This window comes from Homo sapiens, chromosome 19 (assembly GCF_000001405.40).
Source record: "Homo sapiens chromosome 19, GRCh38.p14 Primary Assembly".
Lineage (NCBI taxonomy): Eukaryota > Metazoa > Chordata > Mammalia > Primates > Hominidae > Homo > Homo sapiens.
In genome coordinates this window covers 1,406,290-1,426,314 of record NC_000019.10, presented here as the reverse complement: position 1 = coordinate 1,426,314, position 20,025 = coordinate 1,406,290, and the positions used below count along the sequence as shown (strand labels likewise).

General features: G+C 59.2%; 1 protein-coding gene across 17 annotated transcripts in view, besides 7 other annotated features; it reads right to left on the bottom strand.

The window, feature by feature from the left end:
• Positions 1–18,729, bottom strand: part of DAZAP1 (DAZ associated protein 1) — a 28,099-nt gene extending 9,370 nt beyond the window's left edge. For 4 of the 17 annotated variants that reach the window (NM_170711.3, XM_047438592.1, NM_018959.4 and 1 more), the window contains exons 1-7: positions 18,513–18,729; positions 8,775–8,815; positions 7,945–8,111; positions 7,584–7,649; positions 5,057–5,167; positions 3,919–3,967; positions 355–437 (exon numbers count right to left, since the gene is read on the bottom strand). In NM_170711.3, the coding sequence (NP_733829.1) occupies positions 355–437; positions 3,919–3,967; positions 5,057–5,167; positions 7,584–7,649; positions 7,945–8,111; positions 8,775–8,815; positions 18,513–18,541 (546 nt within the window). In that variant the 5' untranslated portion in view covers positions 18,542–18,729. Of the gene's footprint in view, positions 1–353; positions 438–2,604; positions 2,896–3,918; positions 3,968–5,056; positions 5,168–7,583; positions 7,650–7,944; positions 8,112–8,774; positions 8,816–16,235; positions 18,431–18,512 lie in introns of those variants that run through there. The other 13 variants (NM_001352033.2, XM_047438591.1, XM_011527904.3 and 10 more) reach the window with 11 other exon arrangements.
• Positions 1,055–1,933: an enhancer, noted in NCBI's record as "H3K27ac-H3K4me1 hESC enhancer chr19:1424381-1425259 (GRCh37/hg19 assembly coordinates)". NCBI's record gives its function as "activates a minimal SCP1, AML or CMV promoter by ChIP-STARR-seq in primed H9 embryonic stem cells {active_cell/tissue: H9 hESC(primed)}" and the evidence as "EXISTENCE:reporter gene assay evidence [ECO:0000049][PMID:30033119]".
• Positions 1,934–2,812: an enhancer, noted in NCBI's record as "H3K27ac-H3K4me1 hESC enhancer chr19:1423502-1424380 (GRCh37/hg19 assembly coordinates)". NCBI's record gives its function as "activates a minimal SCP1, AML or CMV promoter by ChIP-STARR-seq in naive H9 embryonic stem cells {active_cell/tissue: H9 hESC(naive)}" and the evidence as "EXISTENCE:reporter gene assay evidence [ECO:0000049][PMID:30033119]".
• Positions 9,193–9,787: an enhancer, noted in NCBI's record as "H3K4me1 hESC enhancer chr19:1416527-1417121 (GRCh37/hg19 assembly coordinates)". NCBI's record gives its function as "activates a minimal SCP1, AML or CMV promoter by ChIP-STARR-seq in naive H9 embryonic stem cells {active_cell/tissue: H9 hESC(naive)}" and the evidence as "EXISTENCE:reporter gene assay evidence [ECO:0000049][PMID:30033119]".
• Positions 9,788–10,381: an enhancer, noted in NCBI's record as "H3K27ac-H3K4me1 hESC enhancer chr19:1415933-1416526 (GRCh37/hg19 assembly coordinates)". NCBI's record gives its function as "activates a minimal SCP1, AML or CMV promoter by ChIP-STARR-seq in naive H9 embryonic stem cells {active_cell/tissue: H9 hESC(naive)}" and the evidence as "EXISTENCE:reporter gene assay evidence [ECO:0000049][PMID:30033119]".
• Positions 17,826–17,925: a silencer, noted in NCBI's record as "silent region_9710". NCBI's record gives its function as "represses an Ori minimal core promoter by ATAC-STARR-seq in GM12878 lymphoblastoid cells {active_cell/tissue: GM12878}" and the evidence as "EXISTENCE:reporter gene assay evidence [ECO:0000049][PMID:35858748]".
• Positions 18,306–18,515: a silencer, noted in NCBI's record as "silent region_9709". NCBI's record gives its function as "represses an Ori minimal core promoter by ATAC-STARR-seq in GM12878 lymphoblastoid cells {active_cell/tissue: GM12878}" and the evidence as "EXISTENCE:reporter gene assay evidence [ECO:0000049][PMID:35858748]".
• Positions 18,656–18,885: a silencer, noted in NCBI's record as "silent region_9708". NCBI's record gives its function as "represses an Ori minimal core promoter by ATAC-STARR-seq in GM12878 lymphoblastoid cells {active_cell/tissue: GM12878}" and the evidence as "EXISTENCE:reporter gene assay evidence [ECO:0000049][PMID:35858748]".

Below are 20,025 nucleotides of genomic sequence, written 5' to 3'. Positions count from 1 at the left end.
ATCTGAAGGAGTGGTCGTGGAAACCAAGCCTGAGGCAACGCTGCGGTTTCACTGGAGCCAGCCCCAACACCGCCACAGCCTCCCAGCCCCAGCCCCCTACCCGCCCAGTCCCAGGTCACCCAGAGGGAGGGGCTCCAGGAGCAAAGCTGAGAGATCCCCACCCCGCAGGAAGGGTGCTGGGGAAGGATGGGACCCTCCTCACGTCTACAGACCCAGGCCCACCTCACGCAGCAAAGGTTCACAGGACGAACTCGCCCGACCCTTTCCGTGAAGGAATGTTCCTTTCCAGTGAAACCCCTAAGTTGCCTAAGACTTGGTTTGGTCTTAAGGTAAAATAAAACTACAACTACACACTTTTTTGCCCATGATGTCGTGAAAATGCATGTTGACAGCCTGGTCCACTGATTGTTCGTCCTCGAAAGTAATAAATCCAAAACCTAGCCAACGACGAAGAGTGAATCAAGGTAGCAGGGTGTTGTGACACAAAACAGGATGATGAACAGTATTAGGGACGGGCCGAGGGATCGACCTTGGGTTTCAGCTAAGCTGTGTGTGGGGCGCTGCGGGCCCCTGGGGCAGCTGCCTCCCTCCCCAGGAGCCACCACTCGACTGCACACGGAGTGGACAGACGGTGACGTCCGCACTCCCGGTGACGGCTCTGCTGACTGAGGCCTGAGTCAAGCCTCCGCCCCAGACACCCCGGGCTGGGGCTCCGTGTCACAAAGATTTGGAACAAGGAGCACATCTTATAAAACAGCAGCGGAGACAGGGGAACGGTGAGGGCCTCCATCGCTACTGGCAGACAAAGCGCCCCCCAGGGGAGGGTCAGAGGCCCGTGCTTGAATATTCTGGCTCTCGCCTGTGGGGAGATTGCCAGTGAACCCTGCAGGCCGGGGGCCCGCGTGGAATGCGCCATCTTAGTCAGGGGTGTGCACCGTGGATGTGTGTATGCTTCTCTGAAACCCAGGATTCTCCCCCTTGGCTTGCAATTTGCTTTGCAGCTAGTGCTGACAGCAGCCATATATCGTTCTAAAGCGTTAACAGATACAGTATCTATCATAGCTGGTGCCTCGCTAGGCTTACGCAACACCGTTGGGTAAGCCCAAGGAGTCCTAGAAGAGGTCATATCGTAGACATCTATGCATGTTCTATACAGGTAGAGAAACAATGCACAAAGATACAGGCCACAACGGGTTCCAGCAGGTCAGACTCTGCTGCCAGCAGCAAGAGCGAGATGCACCATGGGATCAAAACAGAAAATTTTAAAGGCAAAAAAAATTTAGCATTTCCCAAACACAAGAGTGGCAGTATAAACGAAGTTTAGTGGGTCTGGGGTGGGCGCGGCCCCCGGCTAACGGGGCGGGTCTCCTCCTCTAGGCGCAGGAGTGCGCCGGGCTCTCCAGGCCTCCCCGGCTAGGTGGAGCGTGACACCGCAAAGCACACCGTCCTCCCGAGGCGGGGCCCAGGCGGCACCAGCCCCTCCCCAGATGGAAGTGCCCGGCAGACAGCTGCCCAAGACCTCACAGAACAAAGATGGACATGGGAAGAGCTGAGACCGGGCTGAAGATGGGCTGCCCGCGCCAGAGGCACAGGGTGCGTGACAAGGCACCACACAGCAGGGGACAGCGCAGCACGGGCGTGAGGCGTGAACGAGCGCGGCAGAGAAGGGCCGTGGGGGGTGGGAACAGGCAACGGCCCCCGGAAGGAGCAGCCTACTGTGGGGCCTCTCAAGCTGAAGAGACAGGGGCCAGGGCTGCTGTAGCTGGGACCAGGCAGAAACAGGACAAGCAAAACTGGGGGCGGGGAAAGATGGAAACGGGGCAGAAAGGGCAGCTCAGACTGTGAGGGGACAAAGGTCACTGTGGTTCAGGAGCCTCCCACCGTCCTGAGCACACGTGTGCACCTGAGCGTGACTGTGCACGCAGTGTCTGCAACCAGACGGAGGGGGAGGGGGGAGGGGGAGGGGGAGGAGGAGGGGGAGGGGGAAGAGGAGGAGGAAGAGGAGGAGGGACCAGGAAGGCAAGGCACACAGCGAGAGGAGCGCAGGATGGAGAAGACCTGAGGGGACTGAGAGGCGAACGAGGCAGCGGCTGGAGCGGGCGGGCCGAGGGTAGACGTGGGAGGGCCAAGCAGGGACCCGCACAGACACTGTGTGCCCGAGACACAGGCGGGGTCCCTGACAGGGACATGGCCATGACCTTCAGTCAGTGGAGAGGAAGAGGGAGGAGGTGGCGGGGAGGGGGACACAGACCCGTCTCAGAAGATGCAGAAAGGCCAAGGGAAGGGGACACACTCTCTGGGAGGACCCGCTAAGCAGCGCCGCAGCGTCTCTCCGGCCCTCCACTCGCCTGACACCCAAGGGACACTTTCAAAGCCCAACAGCTAAGGACATGTGGCCACGTGCTGGCCCCGAAGTGCTCTGTACACCAGTGTGGACTCAGCGACACTCGCCACGTCCCGTCCACACGGGACAGGACAGGACGCGAGGAGAAGGGGCGCCAGCTCTGGGCAGCCGGAGGGGGACCGGGAGGATCTAGAAGCAACCCTCAGATTCCCGCGCGCTCAAGTTTCCCAAGATCAGAGGCAGTATTGGAACACAGCATCGGTGATGAAACAACGTATTTAGAAGTAGACATTTTCGCAAACTGCAGGAGTGTCTGAAACCACAGGGCTCGCCTGGTCCGGGCACAGTGCAAGAGGCGCTGGGTCCTGGGGGAGGCGCCCTGAGCGCTGTCTAGGAATGCGGCTGTCAAGAGGCGACATCACCACTGAGGAAGCGGGACAGAAACACCTGAAACTTCGTTTACACCCCACTGGAGCAAAGCCGCTCCCTCCTCTGACTGCGGGACTGGCCTGTACCTGTGTGATATAATTTAGCACCTGGAGAAGAGAAATCTAAAGAGATATCGTTAATCACACACAATTCACAGAGAGAAAAGGAAAAACAGCTTACTTAACATCACTGTACTTTACTATGAAACACTTAAGTACGTCACTAAGCATGTATGTCTAAATTAAGTTACGACTAAGACTTAACAGCGTAACCGACATGGAGGAGGAGCACTCCTAACCGTGGGGAGGGAGGTTCAAATGGCAAACTATGCTCCAGCATGGTGGGCATGCTGCGGCGCCACCTGGCGCTCGGGGCTGCCCCGACTGACCTGGGCCGGTGGTGCGGGGGCGGCACGGACGTGGCGGGCAGACCCAGGCTGCAGGTCTGCTCACGTGGCCGGCCAAAAGCAGCTGATGAACCAAAACCATGCGGGCGGGCGGGACAGACAGCAGCAGCCACGGAAAAGGGGCACAGAAACTGGGCGCCCATCGTCCCAGCTCCACAAACCAGCATGGATGGGTGTGCAAGAAGCTGAGGGAAAATGAGGGGAGGCCCTGAGGTGACTCCTCACCCCTCCTCCCACCTGCCCTGCTGACTTCAGAGAGGGGAGAAAACTGAAAAAAAAGAAAAAGAAAAGAAAAGGAAAAAAGAAAGAAAGAAAAAAAAAGCATGGGATGGATCACGGAAAATCCAAACTCCACACCGAGCCAGCTGACCCAGCTGACGACACGAAATGAGACCGGCCACACTGGGAGGACTGGATGAGGGTGAAGGAAGGTCAAATGCAGAAGGACCACACTCTTCCGGACAGTGAAAAACAGAAGCCAGGCCGAGACTCATGACAAGTCGTAAAAACTTCAAAAGAACAAGCCAAAAAACAATGTGTGACGTCTGACCTCGGGAAGCACAGACAGGCTGAATGGGGTGCACATGAGGAGCCCACGTTTTAGTCATTTGTCTCCAAATCGTCCCTTCCTGAGGCTGTTTGCTACAGCCGCCACCTGTGTGTGCCTGGCGGGTGAGATAGTTTGCCATCTGAGGGAGGAGCAGGGAGAAGGCCGAGGTCAAACTAGATCTGCCCTTACCTCGGGGCCTCTGCTTCTCGGCGTCATAGATCATGACTACCTCCGTGACCTGGAAGGAGAGGGTGGCGTCAGCACGGACACCAGGGCCAGCACCACAGGTGGTCTTCCGAGGGCACAGCCTGTTCCCACGAACCCAAACTCTCGCACAGGGTGCGCCCTCCCTGAGCGGGGGAGGTGCACGGGCAACAGCTGCTCCGTGGGGCTGCTGTCTGAGAAAGGCTGGAGCCCCAACACTCCCAGGGCCAGACGCAGGCAGGGAGAAGCAGCTCCAGGGCAGGCGTCTGGATACCCGCCTCCGGGCTGCCCGTGGCCCCGCTCACGTGTGTGCTGACGGACATGAAGGGCCAACAACGCCGACCACGCATCCTAGCAGGGGACGTGGGAGCCAGGAGACCCCACAGAAGCCCTTCCCACCCAAACGCGGGAAGCAAAGGGCACGCTCGGCCCTCACTCGAAGTGGCGGGGCAGCCACACACAGCTCCTCTGCAGACCCTGCTCTTCCAGGCCCCGCTCAGGCCTCTCATTCCTGGCCCAGGCCCGTGGCACCCTCAGGTACCACCTGATGAACGTGCGCAGTACTCAGGCACGCAGGGCTGTCCTGCTGGCGGGGCTCGGAGTGTGACCTGCGGGGCACGGCAGGAGTCCCAGCAGGACCTTGGGGTGACCACACGCCCCTGCCTTGGGTGACTAGGAGGGCTCCCCGCCGGCCCCCTCCGGCTGTCCCAGCTCCCTCTGGCACTGGGCTCAACGGAGCTCGGGCATTCTCCCACCTGCCCAGTGGAAAGTCAGCTCTGTGGGGCTGGCTCGCCCAGGCCACACTGAACCCCGTTTCTGTGTAACTGCCCTTCTCTGACACTGGACCCCACGGTGTTCACAATGGAATCGGGCGGCCGCCCTGAAGGCTGTCAGGCTGGTTCACCGCCCAACCACCCTACTGGGACACGAAATGGCCATGAAGGCAAAGGCCGGGCTTTCCACCTTTCCGGAGGGCGCAGGCGTTGGGGAAATACGAGACAGCGAGCTCCCAGCCTGAAAGGCCCGTGCACCTGTGGCTCGGCCACTCCAGCCCCAAGAAGGCCCAGGCCTGAGCAGAAGCGGCTCTGTCCCCACAGTGCTGCCGGGGTGGGGAGAAACTCACCACTCCGAACTTCTTGAAGTATTCCCTGAGCTCTGTCTCACCACAATTGTGAGGAATTCCACCGACAAATATCTTATTTGATTTACTGTTATCGCTCCTGGGTCCTTTCTGCTGTTGAAGAAGGGAAGGATAGTTAGTTCACACGGGAACCCTCCAAACCCTCCCGCGAGCTGCGGAGGACATAAAGGCCAATCCGCGCTGGTTTAAAGAGTCAGCTGAAAGCCAGAGCAGAACACTCCACAAGCCCGCTAAGTCCAAAGACACTGGGCTCTGCTGAGACACTTTCTCACTTTTCTAGAGAGACCCAAGGAGACAGGGATTGAGCATTTCTGCAGAGCTACATTTCAGCTAAACGGACCCACGACACAGTGCGTGCCTTGCCTCAGCTATTCCGAATTACAACCACTGCCACGTGGAAAAGTGCTCCAGTGTGAAGGCAGGGACTTTAGGACGGCAGGGGAAAGGCAGCAGCGACGACGAAATGAGCAGAGAGGAAGCTGGATTTCAGGCTGTACATCTCCAGCAGGTGACAATGATGGCTACGGAAACCTCCAGCAGCTCAAGAGCTGTGTGAAACACTGGCCCAAACCACACAGCCCCTTCTGCCGGCCTCCCACTGGCAAGGGCGCCTGCTCCTGGGCACCACTTCCCGGGGCCTCGGCGCTCACTGGGTGGCCAGAGCCAGGAGTCTCTGGTCCAGCTCCCGGGCTGCCCTTAGGGCTGGGGCTGCTCTCCTCCTGCCCCCACCCACCAACCATCCTTTTTTTTTTTTTTCCCTATCCAAGGCTATCACATTTTAAGTTGTTCCAACTGCTTTGAATAAAAGACTATAAACCTTTGAGGGTGAGTGCTCGCCGCCGTGACGGTCGGGATGGTTTCATGAGTGTGCGCGTGGGGTGAGTGCTCGCCGCCGTGACGTTCGGGGTGGTTTCATGAGTGTGCGCGTGGGGTGAGTGCTCGCCGCCGTGACGTTCGGGGTGGTTTCATGAGTGTGCGCGTGGGGTGAGTGCTCGCCGCCGTGACGTTCGGGGTGGTTTCATGAGTGTGCGCGTGGGGTGAGTGCTCGCCGCCGTGACGTTCGGGGTGGTTTCATGAGTGTGCGCGTGGGGTGAGTGCTCGCCGCCGTGACGTTCGGGATGGTTTCATGAGTGTGCGCGTGGGGTGAGTGCTCGCTGCCGTGACTGTAGGGATGGTTTCATGAGTGTGCGCGTGGGGTGAGTGCTCGCCGCCGTGACTGTAGGGATGGTTTCATGAGTGTGCGCGTGGGGTGAGTGCTCGCCGCCGTGACTGTAGGGATGGTTTCATGAGTGTGCGCGTGGGGTGAGTGCTCGCTGCCGTTGACGATCGGGATGGTTTCATGAGTGTGTGCGTGGGGTGAGTGCTCGCTGCCGTGACGGTCGGGATGGTTTCACGAGTGTGTGCGTGGGGTGAGTGCTCGCTGCCGTGACGGTTGGGATGGTTTCATGAGTGTGTGCGTGGGGTGAGTGCTCGCTGCCGTGACGGTCGGGATGGTTTCATGAGTGTTTGTATGGGTCAGAATCATCAAGTGGTGCAGTTTACTACGTGCCCATTATATCTTAAGAAAAGCTAGAGAGACATTAATAACCAGATGGAATATGAACCTTGGATTCCAGTCTGAAAAAAACCAGCTATGAGAGACACTTGTGAAACAATTCTGGAGCTGGGAACACGGCCTGGACACAGATGACACGGGATTCCCTGCAGCCGCTTTCCAGCGTGCTGACGGTGGGTGCATGCGAGGGGTGGCCGTCATTTTAGGAGACGCACCCTCCGGTCCTTAGGAATGGTGTATGTGGACAGAGATGGATGTAAATACATATAGACCCCACCCTGCTGCCCACACTGTGGAGAGGCTGGCACCCGGTGCCTCAGCAGGCCTCCAGGTCTGCACTGTCCAGCACGTTCTATGGGGCTAAGAGCTTTCCCATCTGCACCGCCCCACCAGGCTCCTGGTGCCGGTGTGAGAACTGCAGGGCTGGAGGAAGGTGAGGTGTGGGTGGTGGTGAGACCCAAATGCCAAGGAGACCCCATGCCAGGACAGTGCCCTGTCGGCCAGGCAAGCACCAGGGCGCAGGTCAGAGAACCCAAGTTGCCACGTCAGGGGATCTCAAGTGGAGCAGTAAAGTGGCCAGCACGAGCTGACACAGCCCGGCCCAGCCCCGGCAGTGGAAGGATGGCCCACCTCTGAGGAGGGCCAGGCAGTGGGAGGGGGCAGGCCCGGCACAGAGGGCACACAGGGCACAGAGGGAAGCTGACTGGCTCCTGATAATCAGTGGCATGAGCTGTCATTTTTTTTTTCCCTAAGATAGATTAGTAAGAATTTTCTTGGCTGTAAAACACTCACGGCACTGATAAATCTGGGTGATCCTCAGCTGCTCGAGTGCCAACCCAGAAGACCTGCGTCGCCCTCAATCTTAACGAGCGACAACAGCAGATTGAAGGCACGCATTTCCTTTCCACGTGGAGTGGAGAACACACAAGGAGGCCGCCCGGCCCAGCCCCTTACCCATCCTTCCTTCGGCCGTGTTCTCTCCGGCTGCATCCCCCGGGGTGTGCATGGCTTGGGGTCGATCTGCAGGAAATTTCAAATCAGCTGGTTGTGAATAAGAGGCTGTTTCTCTAGGAAAGAGGGTGTCAGCACAACAGCAGCCACGGCACAGCAGCCCGGCCCGCCCCGCCCCGCCGGCTCCATTCACCCTGTATCCTCCTGCAATATCCAGCCTCAGCACCAAGGCTTAATCCTTCCCAATCGACCCCACGTTCAAACATACTCTAACGCAAACATCGGTCAGAGTCCAGGAAAAAATGAAGCAGAGGAAGGACAGGGGAGACAGAGAGCGGGTGTGAGCTCCCGGAAGGGCACTTACGTTTCGGCCATCTAGCGTGTGCGGTCTGCTGGCCAGCACCGTCCCCACACAGTTTGGGTCTTTAAATTTGACAAACCCAAAGCCTCGAGACTGGTTGGTGGTTTTATCTTTCATGATAACACAATCTACGACTTCTCCATATTGGGAAAAGTAGCTGCGCAGAGTCTCTGCTCAGAAATCGGGAAGAAAACACAAACACACAGGGCCAGAGCATTAGGCACGTGCCTGGCAGTGCTGCCGGCACGCACACTCCTCCAGTCCACCAGCCACGCACCGAGCGATGCTGCACTGGGGGTGGGGGGTGTACGGGAAGCGCTGGGGAATTCTGCCCAACACACACTTGAGGTCCTCACGTAAATCAGGGGCTGCCAGTGAGCACAGCAGTGGCCAGCGGTTACAACCTGACTTTGTAGGCGTCCAGGAAGGCAACGTTTAAGGCAAGGCAAACAAGACAACTCTGAATGCTGGCAGTGGCCAAGGAGCGCCGACTTTGCTACACACTCTTTCCTCCTATTCTGAACTCAGTAACAGCCTGGCCAGCCCCCAGCCCTCTGCACTTCCAGACAACAGCTGTCTGCCTCCACAAGCCACCTCAGCCCGGAGCTAGGAACCTGCAGCCTGAGGTCTTCCCTGTAACTTGGGATGGAAATACCAAATTAACAGTCTCAGAGCAAATACACACTTACTCTGTCCCCTGCCCAGAAATCAGAACAACGTCAAAAGGACTTTAAAATATCCAAGACAGTAGCAAGAGGCGGGCAGACACAACTTGAAGGCCGAGGTCCTAGAGCCCATCTGCAGTACCCACCTGACACCCCTTCCCCACCTACCTTGGGTCGTGCTCCAGTCAAGACCGCCCACGAAGAGCTTCCTGCGATTCAATGAGAAAACATTCAGGATCAAGACAGCGCTCGCCTTAGAAATGCCCCCATCCAAGCCAAGCTGAGGTCTTAATTCAAACCACAGAAGCAGCTGACGCAAACGTCCTTGTGCACGTGACGGCATACAAAGCTCACAGCAATGGCGAGTCAGCCTCGCCCATGCTGTCTGCAGACATGAAAGATGATCCCAATCCTTGCCATGGGGAGAGGACCGTGCCACAGAGCCGCACGCTGACCTCATGCGTGGCGGGCGATGAGTTCCTGGGACAGGCCAGTGGTGACGGCACCACGCTCACCTGCACTGCTGCCAAGTGGGACACAGGCTCGCTTTCCTACAGCTTTTGCGAGTATTTTATAATCAGGAAAAAGAATGTAGAAGTCTACATCTGAAATGATGCACAGTAAACTAGAAGCCTATGCCACACGGCCTCTGAATTACAGCCTGGGGCGGGGGTGGGGGGACACAGACAGAAGCCTCCCAATGAGCCTGCACTCACGAACTAACGAGAGGCCCACAGATGAAGGTGAAGGCCCTGAAGCTCCAGTCTCAGCACTGGCCCCACTTACTTACCCCCGACAAACCCGCGCCACCCCCATTCTGGGGCTGTCTCTTATTGGCAGATGAGAAGGGCCTGAAATTCAGTCTCAGCACTGGCACTTCCTGCCTGCCCCCACCAAAGACCCGCGCCACCCCCGTCCTGGGGCTGTCTCCTCCGGGCAGAAGAGCTGGAGCTCTCCCAAGGCGTCCGCCATCGACCCTGCAGCGACGCCCAAGGGCCCACTCACCTTTCCACCTCACTGCCGCTCCAGGTGGCCCCAGGGCCTTGGCTGTGCCAACTCCCAATGGGGACTGTGCCAACTCCCAATGGGGACTGTGCCACCTTGAGTCAGCCATGGCACCCACTGGGCATGTCTGAGACACCACAAGGCTTACCCAGGCACGGGGCCTTAGATGTCATTCAAGCTTCCCCCAAGCCCAGGAGGCAGGGAAGAGGTGGTTCTATCGGCGACTCTCCCATCCTGCCTGCTTTCCCTGGGAAAGAGGACACGCATTCAGAAATGAAGTCCCTGAGCTGAATCTCAGCTGTGACTCAGTGCCAGCACCATCATCACCCTTGGTCTCCAGAGAGCAAAACACCGTGCAGGCCAAAGCTCCCACCTGAGCCGCAAGAATCCTGCCAGCCTCACTGAAAGCACCATTCCCACGCGGGGCCCTGTATCCCTGACGGCCAACCACACCACCCTTGGCTTCGGCTTTCAGCAAAAACGTCGCTGTCAGGTTGAACACGTTACTGCCCCACCAGCAGCAGGAGCAACGTGCTCCTCCCTGCTCCTGCCAGCTCGCCAGGAAAGACCCCTGCAAGGTGGCTGGCACACTCATCACCTCTCATCAACCACCACCTGGGGCCTGTACACTCAGCCCCCGCGAGTCAGCCCCTGGTGAAGTGTCTGCCACAGCCAACCGCCAGGAGCTTGTCCCTGTTCCTTCTTTTTTCCCTAAGAACGACTGATTTAAATTTAGTGTGTGAAAAACAAAGCATGTTCCCACCACAGGAAAGGCACCCACTGCCGTCTTCAAAACGTCAACAAGCAACCCCCCAGCCCCGTTCTTCGGTGGGGAGGGCTGAGGCGGGAAGAATTAGAGGCGGGGTGTGCCAGCCGCCCTGTGCTTCCTGACCCTTAGAGACGAGATCTGAAAAGGCAAATTTCAGGGAAAACCATGCTGATCACGCAACAGCAACAGGCTTAGGTTGAGGCCTCATTAACTTAAAATCCTACGTCTCCCACGCACCCTTCGCAATCAGGCCAGGGAGCGTTGAGGTCAGGCCTAGAGACCGTGGGAGGAGCGAGGCCTCCGCGTGCCTCACTCTCCATAGGCTGTGCCTCACTCTCCATAGGCTGTGCCCGCGCTGAGTCAGGGCCAGCCCCGCCCACATCCCTGCCAGCAGGGCCCGGCACCCAGCAGGAGCCAGCAGCAGCCCCCACCCCATGAAGGAAGGGCCCCCAAGCCTGGCTGGAACCGACCGGAAAAATGCTCATTTACACAATCCTTTGGAATTAAAGTTCAAGCAGTTCTCAAAAAAAAAAAAAAAAACAAAACACACACACACACACACACACACACACACACACACATAAAACCCTGAAAACCAAACCAAATCCAAGTCACTTGAAGAAACAGCAGCCTGTAGTCAGCACTGCACCCACCCAACAGCCAGGTAACAGGCAGGTGTCCTCCAAGCAGCCCAGTACCCCCTCCACCCCCACCTCACTGGCAGAAGGAACTCGTCAGACCAGTCCAGTTTCGGTCTTCATTTAAATTTCAAAAATTGTGTATTAAGGGGGAAGGGCTAGAAACGCTCAGCTGAGAAACCTGAAACAGGGCCGGGGGGGTTAGATAACCTGGTATCAGTACTGTCTTTCTCAGCTGGGCGCAGATCACGCCTATAATCACAGCATTACGGGAGGCCAGGAGTTCAAGACCAGCCTGGGCAACGTAACGAGACTCCAGGTGGTGGCAGGCACCTGTAGTCCCAGCTACTTGGGAGGCTGAGGCAGAAGGATCGTTTGAGTCAAGGTCGAGGCTGCAGTGAGCCGTGATTGTGTCACTGCACTCCAGCAGGGGTGACAGAGATCTCATCTCTTAAATAAAATTAAAAAAAAAATAAAAAATACTCTTAAATAAAATTAAAAAAATAAAAAATACTCAAATACAATTTTAAAAAATAATAAATACTTTCTCAATTTTTTTTTGAAAAATTGTCTCGCTGTGTTGCCCAGGCTGGAGTGTAGTGGCGCGATCTCAGCTCACTGCAACCTCCGCCTCCCGGGTTCAAGCGATTCTCCTGCCTCAGCCTCCCGAGTAGCTGGGACTACAGGCGCCCGCCAGCTAATTTTTGTATTTTTAGTAGAGACGGGGTTTCACCATATTGGCCAGGATGGTCTCAATCTCTTGACCTCGTGATCCACCAGCCTCGGCCTCTCAAAGTGCTGGGATGACAGGCGTGAGTAGCTGCGCCCGGCCACTTTCTCAATTTTGATCACTGTGCTGTGTTCATGTGAGAGAATGTCATTGTTCTTGGGAAACAATAGATATCTCAGTGTACACATAAAGGGGACTGCATCGGTCTCCAGCTACTCTCAAATATTTCAGTAGAAACACACACAGTGGGGATGGGTGCACTGGCTCACGCCTGTAATCCCAGCACTTTGCAAGGCTGAGGTGGGCGGATCACCTGAGGTCAGGAGTTCGAGACCAGCCTGGCCAACATGGCAAAACCCCATCTCTACTAAAAATACAAAAATTAGCTGGGCTCGGTGGTGCGCACCTGTAATCCTAGCCACTCGGGAGGCTGAGCTCGAGGTGTACTGCTTGAACCCGGGAGGCGGAGGTTGCACTGAGCCAAGATCAAGCCACTGCACTCCAGCCTGGGCGACAGAGTGAGGGTCCATCTAAACACACACACACACACACACACACACACACACACACACACACAGTTCACTGGGGGTGGGGCAAGAGGCACCACGTGCCAAAGGGTAAAATGTCAGCCAATGGTGAGTCTGGCAGGGCCAAGAGGATATGGGAATTTTTGTAATTTTCCTGTAAGTCAGAAGTTATATATACAATTATGGTATAAAAGACTTTCATTACTGAGAACAAGACAGAATTTCAGTTTCTTTTGAAACAAGTCTCAGTCCTTATGGAATCTGAGACAGCAACAGATAGCTTTCGTTTCACATAGCTGTGTCTGGAGCTCCCCACCGCAGGTGACCCGCCCGCCTCGGCCTCCCAAAGTGCTAGGATGACAGGCGTGAGGCACCGCGCGCGGCCACACTGTGTGTTTCTGTTGAGATATTTGAGAGCAGCTTCTAACGCTAAAGCTTCCTGTGTCCATGTGTCTTTTACTACCACTCAGGAGCCACCGGCGAACACCTTCTCCCTGGTCTACAGACAGAAGCCTCCGGGAAGTCCCGGAAAGCAGGGTCATCTCTTCAGTGGCAGGGACTGCCTCCAGGGCCCTGGCACAAAGTCCCTACTTCTGAATCTCAGGATGTTTTAATCAATAAAATAAGAAAGCTCCTGGCTGCCAACCTCACCAGGTCGTGAGTGAGAAGCCGGCACATCAGAAACATGCGGAGCCCTGGGCAGGCACCTCCCAGACACTGTCCATCAACTGCCCAGGCAGCAGAACCAACTCTCACACAAGTAAACGTCGGAGTCCAGGAAGCCGGGCGCGGGCAGAGGCCAAAAGGAGGAGCTGCTGGCTCTCGTGGGCTTGCTACGGGGCTGGCGGTCCGCTTGTCCTCAGCTCCAGGCTTGCTCAGCCTGCACCTTGGCTGGCGGCGTGTGGACTGAGGACGTTAACGGGGCAAGGCAACACTGGCCTACGCAGATGAAGGGGTCGGTGAGCAATGTGGCTCCTGCACCCTGCCTCTGAGGGGCCCGCTGGGTGGGAGAGTCATCACCCAGCTGACGGCATCTCCGACACTGGAAGTCGTGGCTCCTACAGACCTCACACCCCACAAACCCAAAAGGGGTGTTCTCATTAGTGGGGGAGGCGTGGGACGAGCTCCACTTCTTCCCTTGCAACCTGGAGTCCAGCGTGCAGTCTGCCCATCAAAGGTCATGATGAACATCTCCCAGGATCTGCAAGCCTGGCACCCAGGGCCTGCAGCTCGACACCTGGCAGGTGCTCAATCCACGGTGGCCGGCGCAGCCACCCTCTTCTGCCTGTTAAAGCAAAAGCCGTTTTGGATGGCAACCTCGCTTGCTGCGTGCCATTCGGGTGCCTGTGCGGTATTTATGCGTAAAGTCCATCTGCAGAGGCTTCCTCTGGCCTAGGCTGACCACAAAGAGCCCTGACCTCCTGGCAGCACCAGAGTGGGCTTCAAAAACCGGCGGCCAGCCCGGCCATTCGGGGCCAGCAGCCTCAATGGGGGCAGTTGGCAGGCGACCTTTCCCTTCCTGCTGGGCCGGGGGACCAAGCCAGGAGGAGCCTGCCTCCCCACAGACCCCACCTGGCTCTGGGCTCCGCCAGTCACACTCAGCTCCGTGCACAATCTCAAGAGGCAGAAGTCCAGGCCCAGTGGCGGCTGATGTGTGGGGAACCCTTCTCTTCTTCCAGAGCATCAGGAAGAGCCTCTAGGGACTTTCCTGCCCCTAAGACCAGGTGGGAAACCAGGACCACTTCACCCACTGCCTCAGGCCAGTGAGCCCAGCCCGCCCCTCCATAGCCTGGACTCCCTCTCCCCAGCAGGGTCAGATGCCCCCCCTCCAGCCCACGCCTGCAGGGTGTGGGGTCCACAGAACACAGGAGCGGTCCGTGAACTGGAACGCGCTGCTGTGTGCTGAAGGAGCCCCTGAATGCCCACATCCTGGGTGCTAACTGTGGTCACCCTCATCCTCTCCCTGCCAGCCCCGCCCTCCCAGGCGGACCAGTGTTCTCCTTGGCAACGCCTGGAGCCAAGCTGGAAGCTCAGCCTATAAGCATCTGTCGAATGACTGGCCTCTGCCAAAAGCCCTGTCACAGCTCTCAGGGATTCTGACATCATGACATGGTGTCACGGGGACCAGGCCTGGATGGGAAAAGGCCTCAGTTCACAGAAGACAGCACAACCTCAGATTGACGGGTCGCACCATGAACATAGCCGCCTGACCAGGAGCGCCCTCTGTGCGGGGCGGGCAGTGGAGGAGTGTGGACTCCCAGCTCCGGATCTTCCACCCCCTGGGGTGACCCCGGGCCCATCCCTCAACTCCTCTGTGCCTCAGTCTCTCTGGCAAAGCCAAGGGTTAGAGCCAAGGCTACAAGCACAGCTGGGCACGCTGCGCGCTGCTGCTAGCTCTGGGCCACTGGGGAGCTGCTGTGTGAAGGGCAAGCGCCAGGGTCCATGCTGCTGCCTTTCTAGACACCGGCCTGCTCCAGACCATTGGAGCCAAGGCGAGCCAGTCAGGAGCACATCCACCCTCAAGGCCCATTCACAGGAATCAAAGGAGCCGACACAGGACAAGCCATAAACCACAAGGAGCAGCGGCCCCCAGCGCAGGGGCAACCAGGCCAAAAGCACAGATGCTCCCAGACAGTGGCTCTCCCCCCAGCAGGACACTGGGTGATGTCTGGGAACATTTGTGGTTGTCACGACTGGGGGTACTCCTGACCCGGAGTGAATGGAGGCCAAAGGTGCTGCCCAGCACCCTGCAGTGCCCACGGTGCCCCAGAGTGATCCAGGCCAGAGTGCTGACAGAGCCCAGGAGACCTGCCTCGGAATAACTCCAAATGCACCAAGAGAGCCCCAGAAAGGCCGGCACGGCCCCATGAGGTTCCCTATCACTCCCCGCACTGCAACAGCCTCCCCCAGATCACGGCCCTCTCTGGCCTGACCAACAATCTTGCCAGGTGCCTTGTGCTCACTCTGCACAGGTACAAGTAGTCACGGCCTCTAGGGGCCCAGCCAGGAGCCCCACTCAGGATGTCTCCTTCCACAGCCACCCAATAAACCCAGAGACCTGCCATGGGCCTGGCTCTGAGCTGCATGGCCCCCGGCCACAGTCCTGGGTATCCTCGAAGCTGCCCAGAGGCGGCTTTCTCCTCTCTCCGCTGAGTCCTTCCTCCCTCTGTGACTTTCCTACAATATTTCCAGGTGTCCCTGTCTTACCATTCCCCAGTGTACCAGATAAAATCTTCCATAAACCTCTCTCTCCAGTTCCATGACCGTGTGCTGCCTTGGAAGCCAGCAGAACACAATGGCCTGGGCGCTCGAGGTGACCCCTCTGAGCCTCTGTCCTCTCCCCAGTAGGCCAGGCATGGGCCCTATCCCTGACACCTGGTCTACCACCCAGGCGCCTAGCACCCAGCGGCTACTCAACAGGATGTGGCGACCCCGGCCGCGCTGTGTCAGCTTCCCAGAATCCAAGTCAGAGGCGCTCAAGCCAGACTTTAAGATGACTTCACAAGGCCAGGGAGGGCACACTGGAGACTCGGGCCTTCCTGATCGCGCGTGCTCTGAGCGCTCCAGGCCACCTGCTGGTGCCAACCCTCTAACCCTCCTGACAGGTCAGTGCCTGTCCCCCACCCTTCACAAGAGGACCAGGACAGGCCCCGCTCCCAAAGGAGGACACTGTCCATCACATCCACCATGTAGGGTCCGCGTGCCAAACCCACCAGGATCCAGAGAGGGACTCCCCACACCCCACCACACGTATGCGCTTCCTCCTGCATGAAGCCCCCCTCAAGCTGACTGGAAGTCGGTGTGTGTAAGGCATCCGTTATCACCGGCAGGCCTCAGCTGACTTTCATCCCCCATCAAGCTTTACATGGACTTCTAAGCCAGCACAGGGACCCTCAAAACTTGGGACGACTTCTCAGACTCAAAAGCAGAGCTTCCCCCAAGGATGGCTCCCTAACCCACCTTCCAGGTGTGGATTCCCAGGGCAGCAGCTGGACGGCCACAAGTGTCCCAGAACAGGGGGCTCCCAAGCTCCAAGTCTCCTGAGGCGTTGACCCCGCACCCATGCATGCTCCAGGCCCAGCCCTCCAAGCGGGGTCCGGCGGGATCTCCTGCCTCCTCCATGGCAGTGAGCAGTGAGGGCTCTGCATCAGGAAGAGGGAGCTCCTCAGGCTGCCGAGCCCCCCCAGTGGGTAAGGGACACCGCAGACCCATGGCGTCCTGAGAGCCGCCATCTGCCGCAGAGAGGGCCTGCTTCCATCCAAGCTCAGCACCCTCCTGCATGGCACCCACCGCACCTGCAGGGGACTTGCCAGGAGGGCGCTTCGCAGGGTCACAAGCATTTCACGCACACAACAACTCCACACAGCAAGATCAGAGCAGACCGTGGACTCCGCATAGAATGGAAGCCGGTCTCCCATGCGACGGGCGGCTGTGGCAACACTTCTTGCCCAAGGAGTCTGACTTAGAAAGCAGTGGACACTCCTGGCAGCCGGGGAGGAGAGCAGGGTCCATGCACTCCAGTTCTCCTCCACGCAGCCCGTGGCGTCCGGGTGGCCTGCGAGCCTATTTGTGCTGTGGGTGGGACCCCTCCAGACCCAGGCTGGGACCCCAGCTGCCCCACTTCCCAAGGGTGTCCATGCAGGGAGGGGACAGGAGCCCTCACCTCTCTCCAGCCTCCTCACAGCCACGGCTTGGGTGGAGCGGGCCCACGTTCACCCGCGGCTTGAATGGACCTAATCCAGGTACCCCATCTGGGAGCCCTTTCCCTGCCTCACCCCAAAGTCGATGGCTCCATCCCCCATGGCCGGTGGACTCCCTGCTCAGGCCCATCCCTGCAATGTCCCTCACACAGGCACACGGACCCTGCCAAGTCAAAGTGCCTGGAGAGGACTCACAGCACGGGCTAGGCAGGGGCTAAGTGCTTTCATCCTGGTTCTCCAACGGAAGGTGCTCTTTTGTTTTGTCTGGGGAGGGGGAGAGCCCACAAAAGGCATTTCCCATCCACAAGTGTGACCTGTAGCTGGTGCGAGAGGCGCCTGCCAAGGCAACCCTCTAGCAGCAACCGCTCCCGCACTAGCCAAGCCCAGCGCTGAGAACACAGGGCGCTGCTCAAAGCTAAGGGCACCGAGAAATTTACACCAGACCACTAGGAAACCCAACCCAGACTGTTTTGCCGGAAGAATGCAACTCTAAAACGACGTCGCTGCGGCAGGAGCCGCTCCTACCAAAGAATGGCGCCGAGCCCTGGGGCACAGCGAAATGAGGTTTCCCGGCCCCGCGGGGTCCGGAGCAGGTCAGGCTCCTATAGGAGGGGACGCCTCGGCGCAGCAAAGATCCGCGGGCCCGTCGCCGCCTCGGAAGCGCTGACTCTCCCTTCCGCAGCTCAAGCCCACCCCCGGCGGGGAGGCGCCGAGGCAACGTAAACACAGCAGGCCCCGGCTGACCCGAGCCCCCTGGGCCCTGGGTTTGCGAACCCCTCCCGACCTTACCACTTTGGGGGGGTGGGATGGGAGCGGGGAGCCCGGAGCCCCGAGTGGGATAGGTTGGGCGGTGGCAGAACCGGAACCCTCGCCTCGGCTCGCCACGTGCGCCGCCCGCCAAGTTTGGGCGCGCGCTGGGGGCGCCCCGGACCACCCCCCACGCCACAGTTTGGGGTCCCCCTGGCCAGGAAGCCGGGAGGCGGCGGCGACGGCGCCCTGGACTCCCCGCAGACTCCCTCAGGTTCTCATTCGGGGTCCCCCAGGCCAGGAAGCCCTACAGGCGGCAACGGGGACGCTCCAGACCCCCCCAAGTTCCCGTTCGGGGCCGCCACAACCAGGAAGCGGCGGCGGGGGCCCCTGAACCCCTCTGGCTCCCATTCGGGGTCCCTCAGGACGCGCAGTCGGGAAGCGGCGGCACGGGCGCCCCAGGACACCCCCCCAGGTTGCCGTTCGGGGTTCCCCCGACCAGGAAGTCTGGAGGCGGCGGCGGGGCCCCCCGGACCCCTCAGGCTCTCCTTCAGGATCCCCCAGGACGGGAAGCCGGGAAGCGGCGGCGGGGGCGCCAGGACCCCCCCAGACCCCGGGCACCCGTCCAGGGCCCCCGGCGCGAAGCCGCGGCGAGTCCGGGTCCCGAGTCCGCCCCCGGCCGGCGTGACCTTGACGGGGCGGCCCCGGGGGGCGGCGTCTGAGGCCGGGCGGCGGGGAGCGGCGGGCCGGGCTCGGGGCGGAGACGCAGGCCCGCGCCGCTCGTCCTCACCCGATCTCGTCGGCGCCCGAGTTGTTCATGGCGGCGGCGGCGGCGACGCTCGGCGCTCCCGGGCCTCCTCGCTCGCTCCCGCCTCCGGAAGGTCACCCGCTCCGTCGCCCTCCCCACAGCCGCGGCCCGGATCTGCGCAACGGCGGCGGCGGCGGCGGCGGCGGCGGCGGCGGCGGCGGCGGCTGCCTCCTCCCCTCGGCGCCAACGGTCACCGCGCGTCCCCGCGCCGCCGCGCCGCCGCCCCTGCGCACGCCCGGGCGCGCTCCCGCACGGGGTCTCCGGGGGCGGGTCCAGGGGTACTCCGTCTGTGCGTGCGTCCCTGAGGCGGATTTCGCGCCGCCGCAGTCGGGGCCGTCGCGCGTTTTCCTTTCTCCTCGGAGGCTCCTGGCGTTGCCGCGGGGCACGCTGGGAAATGGAGTCCCTGCGCTGGCCCCGCCCCTGCAAGGGGAGGATGCGCGCGGGCCGAGCCACGTGCGTGCGTGCGCGCGCGTGCGGGCTTGCGTGCGCGTGCGCGCTTGCGAGACCGGCGCTCCGGGCTAGGCACTGTGGGCGCAGGCGCGGCTGCCGCTTCCTCTTTAACTCTTCACTCGGAAGCGGTGGAGCCGCGTGGGGCGCTGCGGGGAGTGGGAGTGTACCCGCCCGCACCCCAGGCGGGCGGACGGAGCGGGAACGGCACGTGAGCGTCCCGCGCGAGGCTCCTTCCCCTGTCCGCATTTCACAGAAGAGGATCCCGAGGGTCCGAGAGGCTGAGTCACTTGGCCAAGGTCACCCAGTTCGGGGCTGAACTGGAATCAAATCAAAACAATTAACTAAATTCAATGACTATGAAAAGATATTATTGACCCCCCCCCCAAGTGCTATTACTATTAATAGCCAAATACTGTTTTAGTTGCATCTGTTAATTGCATACATCAGTGGTTCTTCTTCTGGGTGACTTTGCCCCCTAGGGGATAACTTGGCAATGTCTGAAAACACGGTTTTGGTTGTCACAACTTGAGTGCGGGGTGCTGCTGGCATCGAGTGGGTCCAGACCAGACATGCCGCTCAGCACCCTGCAGTGCACACGACGACCCCCCAAAAAGAATGATACCCGTCCTCCAATGTCAGCAGAAGGAGGTGGAAAAACCGGTCTAGGCTGACGGTAGTAAACAGGTGACCCGCAGGGTTTTGTAAAACCGGGTACGTGCTGCCTACTGCTTTTCTCCTTAATCTCACAGCACATTGACAGCCTGATCGTTTGGTTTATTCATCATCACAGAATTAAATAAATACAAGGAACAAGGCCGGGTGAGGTGGCGCACGCCTATAATCCCAACACTTTGGGAGGCCGAGGATCAATTTAGGTCAGGAGATCGAGACCAGCCTAGCCAACATATATAGTGAAACCCCGTCTCTACTAAAAATACAAAAGAAAATTAGCCGGGCGTGGTGGTGGGCGCCTGTAATCCCAGCTACTCGGGAAGCTAAGGCCGGAGAAATGCTTGAAGGCAGGAAGTAGAGGTTGCAGTGAGCC